A 9,058-nucleotide genomic window follows, 5' to 3' on the forward strand; every position below is an offset into this window, starting at 1 on the left:
AGAAAGTGAGATGAGAATGCTCAGTGTCATAATGTCAACTAAACACAATTGAAAAAGTGGACAAAAGACAAAAGTAGGCAGAAGAAGTGAAAACTATAGATTCCTTGTGTTTTGAAACAGAAGATAAAAGATCCTATGTTGAAATAATTATGAACAAAGATAATATTTTGCAAACTTGTTAAAAGTTTATAATGATACACATTAAACAACGGTTTTACCTTCTACTTCCTTACACTTAATAAAAAATTAAACAGATTCCAATCCTTCAACCAAAAGCAAAATAGGCAGTATTAAAAAAAATCATAGAAACATGAGCCCAGTGGAAAAGACAGAAGTTGGGTTTATTATAAGAGATATATTACGTGGACAACCTTTTCAAAATGGCTTCATCTCATTGAACGCGAACCCATTTCTTCAGCTCTGGGATGCAAACCTTTCTCCCATAAGCTGGAAACCAGGCTGCAAGGTGTGACAGGTCCAATTACCTTGGTAGTCATTATCTGCGATGATAGCCTTCTATATAAGGACGGGCAGCAGTGCATGCCTGGGATGGAAAAATAGAGCCAGCTAAGGCTAGGCGGTCTTACTGGTGCTGACAAATTGATTGACGATACTGCAAAGCATCAAATTGTAATAGGCCCAGTCACGTTGTTTTCATTGTTATTGTTGGAAATCTGATTTTATTCAGATAGGATGGTACTGTTGCCTAGTTAGACATGAAGCACCGGCCTTTCTTCCAGGTGAAAGAGGCAGATGCGATGAAAGGCTACATGGAATAGCTTTGTTAGGGGAATTTCTTTTTATTGTTATTTTCCTCACAGACTACATAAGAGAGACTTGTACATAAATCAAAATAAGGTGATGGTTAACTTTATTTTATTTTAAAAGAAGGACGTGAATTAGAGTCAAAGAAAGGGGAGATGATGTATGAAGGGAGGAATCAGTAGTCGAGGTGGCTTAGAAAGAGGAAGAGATGAATGAATGAGGAGAGTGGAAAGGAAGGAAGAAAATTTCAGGAGAATTCTTACAATAATGGAATGAAAAAGGTAGCATAGGGGTTGTTCCACTAAAAACAGAAGGGAGGTAGAATATATATTTTTTTACCTTCTTACCTTCCTTCTATTCTCTGATTCTTTGAACTAAGACCTCAAGTAGTATTAGGTAGTTCTATTTTTGTGAATTTTTAACAAGACTGGAGTTTGATTATATGCCATTTTAGAAAGTGATGTTAAATATGTATGCCTACAATAATCATGTTCTTGATAAAATTAAATTTAGCATGAAAAATTAAATATTTGACAATTCCAACTTTAATAGGCGAAGAAATAGTGACTCTTTGTCAGAGAAATATACGTCATTGCCATGTACACAATAGTAACTTTGACCTGTATCATTTTAGGGATATTAGGTATGCTAATGATCTCCTTTGTATACATATGACTAAAATTTTAAGTATTGTAAAGTTATATAATGCATTGTACAAAAATACAATGGCTGGAGGAGTTTCATTTCAGCATTAGCTTTGTAGAAGAGAGATTAAATGAAAATCCTCTTATTTTTTCTATCTGTGAAAGGTTAAACCCATTTACCAAAGTACATGTCCATTCGCTTAGAAAATAGCTGTAATAACAAAAGAAATGAAATTCCATTTGGTCATTAGCTATGGGTAAACAATGCTTTCAATGTGATTTTAATCCTCTTCATGTGCCTGTGATGTCTTTAGATAAGGCTTAAAGATCATGACCTTTTCAGAGTGTTGCATCACCCTCAATCTTTTCTATAGTCCACTGAGTGATCTATTGAAATTCATTTCCAGCAGTTTGGCTACTTCTTATTCATTAAAAAACTCACTTTTGAGCACCAAGACTGAGTATCTGGGGTTTAAAGAGTAACGACATTTATCTCTGAAAGTTGATGGCGTCTTTGAGATTTCAGAGTGTAAAGGCCAAATGCTGGACTTTCAGCTTCCAGGGACTGCTTTCACTTTCAGAGGCTGCCGGGAGGTCTCTGTGTGTGGCCTCCTCCTCTCACAGCCTGGCGGCTAGCTTTCTTCTAAAGCCAGTAGGACAGCAGCTTTCTGTCCTTTCACAGGTTTTGAAATGGCTCCCTAACAAAGTCAGGCCCAACCAGAAGAATCTCCTTTTGATGAATTCAAAGTTAGTATCCCAACCACGGGAGTAAAATTGCATCATGTTCACCTGCTCTGCCCACATTCAAGGGGAGGCAATTATGCTGATGAACACCAGGGGGCGGCATCTCGGGGATTCCAAGTTAGAGTCTTGCCCACCACTGGCTGATTGTGCTGGTCTCTCTACAACTCTAAATTCCTTGGATACCGAGAAGAATTTAATAGTGCAAAAGATAAGGTAGTCTTACAGCTGGACAGGATAGCTCTATGCTTTCTTCTGGGATGCCTGGACATCTGATCTTGACGCTTGTCCAAAACAGAAATGAGGTGGGCTCACTAGTGAACTATAATATGCTGTTTAAAGTTTGAAAGTTCCCTGGAGACACCCAAGCTTACATGTCTATATGTTTTTTAACAAATACTTCCATTCTGGGTGGTTTACTCCTGGGCGCACCAGGTTACCCAGACTGACCCTGCTGCAAAACCAGTGGAATGCAGATCTTATGGGACCTTTTGCCTGGAATTCCCTGAAACCACAGTTCATCACATGTATCTTGATGGTTCCTAAGCTGAAGACGAAGCTCATCTGGAGTGACTAACCATCCTGGGTTACCGGACTCAAGAGATTCCTAGAATATGGAACTTCAAGTGCTAAGACAGGGAACCCCCAGGAGGCAGAGGAGATGGTCACCCTGAGGTGCATTCTGTGGCACTGAGAAAGGACCCTGGGGTTCGGGGGTGCTTGTAGTGCTTTTAGATACACAATGCTTTCCTGAGGATTCTCCTCTAACCATGCTATATCCCGTATTGTAATTGAAGCTTTACGTGAGTTCGTCCTGTGAAGTCTTGGGAGCCCCTTCAATTATCCTATTCTACCTAATGGATGCAGCGTTGGGAGTTTTTTTAAAAAATGAATGCTCTCAGGAAGAGTAGGAAAGGTTGGGTAAGAATTGTGTGTGGTTAGAGGCTTGTTTCCACGCCCTGTGAAAGCGGCTGCTCTCCATCCTCACTCAAGAACACTGTCAATGCCAAGAGGCTTTGCCATCTGTGACCCAGGTGTGGAGTGTTAAGGGCCATGGAGGTGACTCTATAGGTGATAATTACCAAAAACATTCAAATCTGAAAATTGTTCCTGTGTCATACTCTTATCCACAGAAATTTTTTCCACTAATTGAAATAAGGAAACTACTCAAGAAAAGAAATACACTATTCTGCCCTGGGTCTAGCATTTCAGCTTTGTACCACACTTACACTTTTACGACTATAATCACATGACATTGATATTACCATCACCTACTGTTTTTATATTATTTTATAGCTGATAGTGTGCATTTTTATCATTTGATTTTCACAATAACCATAAAAGGTAAATGAGGATGTTTTCAGTGTTGTGAAATGAGGGAATAATGGAGTTACAGAGACAATAATTGTGCCACATATGCAATGGGCGAGGATGGGAACCGAATCCAAAATTTTGACTTTTGTTTGGTGGCTTTTTAAGAAATCATGAAGTCTTATGTAGGAAAGTATAATTTTCATGGTATTACCATATTTCTTACTACATACTTTGAATTTATTATCCAAATGGATCTTGGCACAAATTCTGCAACTTTGGCTGAGAGGAAGAAAGATTCCCATTTATTGCTTACCTACCATGTGTCATGCCCATTTTTTGTAAACTGTGCAGAGCATCTTACTTCAATATCACCAATTGGAAATCAAGACAAAAGTCCTATTCAAATTTTATAGATAACCTTACTGGGGTTAGAGAAGTTCAGTAACTTTTTCAGACTCTCACAGATTGTAAAGTTACTTCCTTTTGTTCCCAAAGACAAACTCTATTAAAGATAGTTTTCTAAAACCATAATATCGGGCAGTTTGAAAGGACTTGAAAGCCTGGTTGATGAAAATATGGACTATAATCAGCATCTAGTTGAAACATGCATTGGATGTAAATTTTCCCCATGATGTTTCTATTCTTTTTGGAGTCACTTTATTTGTTTAAAGTTTGTCCTCACAATTTAAGTGTCTCTTTAACTCCCATAAATTGCTTTAACTTTTACTCTGTAGATTCCCCTACAGAGATTGTAAACACCAGTACATGTAATTATTTTATATTTCTTCAACTGCCATATATGACTCGGTTTCAGAACTATTTCCTATTGGGACGCTGTCCTGCTAATCTAGTCCAGTGTGTCAAAGTGCCTCCTGCCACGTGGCACACACACCTTCATGCAGCCTCCCTGATATGTCCTGGGAGGTCAGGAGAAAATCTCCTATGTGAACCCTCATTTTCTGTAATTTTGAAACATATTGGAACTGGAGACTCCCCAGCACCTGGTAGGTCTTTGCAATCCTGTGTTGTGTGGAAGCCAAAGATACCAATATCAACTCATAGGTTAATATAAATGGATAGATAAATAGAGATATAGTTATGTATAAATAGGTATAGAAATAGTGAGATAGAGATGAGAGAAAGAAAAAGATAAAGAGAGATAGAGACAGAGACAGAGAGAGGCCCTTGAGCCATTTGGAACAGTATTTCACACCAATTTGTCATTTTGGTTCTGCCTTTAGTCCCATATCCCTGATAGGAGAGCCTTCCAAGAAAGAGAAACTCCATTTCTGGTATCAAAGAAGGAATTGTAGTTCAATAATTAGGAAAACAACTTAGCAATTATAAGGACAATAAGAAAAAAAGGGCCTTAAGAAATGTATGTGTTTTACAACTTTTACTGAATTCTGCTGTAGTATAAAAACACACCCGAACTGAAGGTCGCAGTCAAAGCAGCTGCTTTTAGAGAGTGTATGTTGTGAATGAAATTGCTCAGAGTATTTCACAGAGTAATACTCATGAAGTCAGTCTGATGAAATTCCTGTTCAATCTTACTACTAAGAGGAGTCTTAGTTCTTCAATATTTGCCTATATTTTAACTTATGGTCATCCTTAATTGATATACTAAATTTATTTCTTTATCTGTTGCTAGAAAGGTTAGGGATGACCTTGAGGCTCTGATGTCACAAATGTGTGAGGAGAGATTGCAGGCACGTTAGTCTAATTCATGGCCCTGTCAATATCCTCATGCTTGTCTTCCTATTTTCGTTTGGCTAACCCTTCAGTTAAGCTCAGTGACTGCATTTTGTTAACCATGTTGGAGCAGAGGATTTCTTGCTTCATCTAGTTCCTCTTTCCTGGTCGGGGTACCAGGGCTTCTCCTTCTGGTTTCTTAACTCCTAACCAATTGAACCTGAAGAGGACCACCCTTGGACAACTGCAGTGATTCAGCCACAGACACTCAGAATATCACTTCCTCCGAAATCCCCATCTACTTGACTTTGTCCTGGTTTCTGCCTTGCTCCCTCTAGGCCTCCTGGAACACATCCTGAATAACTAGTGTGGACAATGCCCTTAACTCAAGCCATACTTCTGGAGAAGCTGAACTAGGACGTTATTTACAATGATAAATAGGATACAATTTTACACATAGAATATAATTTCTATGTCTCATTTTTTAATAATTGGAAATGTCCACAATGAATGGTTGGGATGGGAAGAAAAATGGTGGACTGGAAAGAGTGTAAGCAGGATGGAGGGAGGGTCACTTCTCTGAGTAGTCTTTCTTGAATAGTTGACATTTGGAGACGTATTAATGTTTCATATTACACACACACACACACACACACACTCTCACACACAATCAACAGAGATGGGGAAAAATGCCAACTTAAAACAGAAACAAATGTACTTACTTTATTAGCAACAACTAATCCAAGTAACATTTGTACACAGTATTGGGACTCTATGTTCTCAGCCTAAAACAAAGAGAAAAATGGCAAATCTAAAATTACTATTTGTGTGTTCTAATACTGAACAAATAAGAAGTAAATGTATTGTGGATAATGGGAATCAGGTTTCTCACTGTCAAAGGTGAAAGTTACAAATAAGGAAAGGCTAAAATGAATCCTGTACTGTTGTGGTAAAGTCAAAGGCACCAAGAACTCACAGTTTCATATAAATAGACAGGTAAATATGGATATAGATTTTTGTATAAATATATATAGGCAGATATATATTGTCATATATAAGTACAGATATATTTATGTAGATCAATGGATATGCATACATATAATGACATCTAGTTTTAACAATATATCTGTCTACGTGTGAATATATATGGCTGTAACTATCTATATCTATCTAAACTATCTATCTCCATCTCTCTAAGTGAATATATATATATATATATTTAGCTCTGTCCTCTGAGAAAGGCTGGGAGAATGACATCCTAGTAATAATTAGCAAACTAAATGCCCATCTTCACCCAAAGAAATCAGGATTCTTTAGAAAGATGGCTGGTGCCAGCACTAGCGTAATGAAGTAGAGGATGAGTGTGCAACATCTCTTTGTGCCAGAAAGTAAGGGAGATGTTTAGTGAATAAAAGAACACGACAATACACACACACCCCACCCCATAAAGGGATTTAAGGGGCTCCCACTGGACAATGTTGGGGCAATTTGCATATCAAAATAAAATAATTTTAATTGAGTATTACCTGTTAAATAAATAAGAATCCATGAGTCCACACTTCTATCAGAAAATAAGAAGGTAAGTAGAAAAATAAGGCCAAGTGCGGTGGCTCACACCCGTAATCCCAGCACTTTGGGAAGCCAAAGTGGGCAGATCCACAAGGTCAAGAGATGGAGGCCACCCTGGCCAACATGGTGAAACCCCGTCTCTACAAAAATACGAAAATTAGCTGGGCATGGTGGCAGGTGCCTGTAATCCCAGCTACTCAGGAGGCTGAGCCCAGAGAATCGCTTGAACCCAGGAGTCGGAGGTTGCAGTGAGCTGAGATGGTGCCACTGCACTCCAGCCTGGCAACAGAGTGAGACTCAAAAAAAAAAAAAAAAGAAGAAGAAAAAAGAAAAAGAAGGGAAGTAGAAAAATAAACAAACGATGGGGGCGTTTTCTTACATTGGCATCCTAACTAATATTCACAGGAAGATTGATAGAATTAGGAAATTACAAATGGTAACATAGTAGTAGTTGTTTCAGGCAAGGAATGGCAACGGTTGCTAAAACTAGTGGGAGAAGGTTTGATGATTAACAGGATGTATGTTTACGTATCCTCAAAATATCTACACAAAAGATACTTTTATATTACAAAATAAAATATAGTAATTTTACAGTGTAGAAATATGGCAAGCACAAATTTATTCGAGTAGTTGACATCACCAGTATTGGGATAAATTGATATTCTGTGCCTTTTGAAATGAGGTAATGAAAAAAACATAGCACCAATTCTAGGGTATTTCTGACAAGAATAAATGATGTTTATTTAATACTGAAGAAACACTAGACAAATTCAAATTTAATAACATTTGAAAAAATAACGTCCCTCTGTCATTAAAAAGTCAAGGTTATTAAAAATAAAGTAAAATTAAAGAAATATTCCAGATTAAAGGAAAGGAAAGAAGCACAATAAGTGAATGCAACTCATACTCTTGGATTTTTGTCCCATAAAAGAAAATTATTTGAATAATCATTGAAATTTTAATAATAATTTAATCATTTTGTATCAATGTTAATTTTCTAATTTTTATTATTGTACTGTGATTATGTAAGAGAATGTCCTTGTTTTTAGAAAATAGGTACTGAATCATTTGTTGATTAATAGATATCATCTCAGTAATTTATTTTCAAAGGTTATATATATATAATACATATGCTGTATATCTATCTGTCCTCTATCATCATCTATCTGTCTATATATCTAGCTTTCTATAGAAAGAGATAAGACTAAAGCAAATACAGGAAAATGTAAACATTTCAAGAATCTGTGTGAAGGGTATACTGGAATTTTTTACATTAGCCTTCCAACTTTTCTCTAAGTATGAAATTATGTAAAATGAAAAAAAATGTAGTAACCTAGTATATGTCACTTACATTGCAAAGTTTTTCTCACTTTGTTGTTTGACTTTTAATATTACAGTCTGCATTTTTATCCAGTGCAATCTTTCTTATGGAGTCTGGCTTAGCTATTATGATTTTAGAGTAATTTCCACATTACTCAGAAACCCTCCTCTCACCCAAAATCAGATAAGTAATTACCTTCTTTTATATATACCATACTTCATCAAAATTAAAGTATTTTGATTATAAAATACACAATTATTTTATGCACGCCTAAAAAATAATAATACTATTACATGCCATTCACTGAAAGATGAATCACTATTTCAATGATATTAAAATGTTGAAATAGCCAGGCACAGTGGCTCATGCCTGTAATCCCAGCACTTTGGGAGGTCAAGGCAGATGGATCACTTGAGGCTAGGAGTTTGAGAGCAGCCTGGTCAACATGGTGAAACCCCGTCTCTACTAAAAATACAAAAATTAGCCAGGCATGGTGGTGTGCACCTATAATCCTAGTTACTTGGGAGGCTGAGTCAGGAGAATCACTTGAACCCAGGAGGCGGAAGCTGCAGTGAGCTGAGATCATGCCACAGCACTCTAACCTGGGCGACAGAGTGAGACTCTGTCTCAAAAAAAAAATGTTAAAATACACAGATATTAGAGTTGATAAAATATGATAGCTTCCTAATTATCTTGTAAACATTTAACTGTACAATCCATCTAAAATTTGTTTTGCCATATGTTATTACAGGTGAATCTAAGGCTCTTTATCATTCAACTGTATATTTTTTATTCATCTTCTATTACTTTTTCATTCCCTGAATCATCCTCTATCTTTTCATAGAGAAATGTAAACTATTAATTTTGATAATAAAGATTCAAGTGTTAATTTTATCTTTGCCAATTTGCATTATAATGTATGTTTCAATATCTATTTTCAGTTTTTCTGCTGTATTTATGATTATCTTCAATGTATCAGAAACACTATATGCTTGTTTTAATTTTAACTCTT

At 36.5% G+C, this 9,058-nt stretch overlaps 1 long non-coding RNA gene across 1 annotated transcript; it reads right to left on the reverse strand.

The window, feature by feature from the left end:
- Positions 1-315: 315 nt before the first annotated feature.
- Positions 316-5,939, reverse strand: LOC107986738 (uncharacterized). The gene is made up of 2 exons (XR_001745018.2): positions 5,879-5,939; positions 316-544 (listed from the first exon to the last, which is right to left on the reverse strand). It is a non-coding gene; the product is annotated as an uncharacterized LOC107986738 (long non-coding RNA).
- Between the last annotated feature and the right edge of the window lie 3,119 nt (positions 5,940-9,058).

This window comes from Homo sapiens, chromosome 7, assembly GCF_000001405.40.
Source record: "Homo sapiens chromosome 7, GRCh38.p14 Primary Assembly".
NCBI lineage: Eukaryota > Metazoa > Chordata > Mammalia > Primates > Hominidae > Homo > Homo sapiens.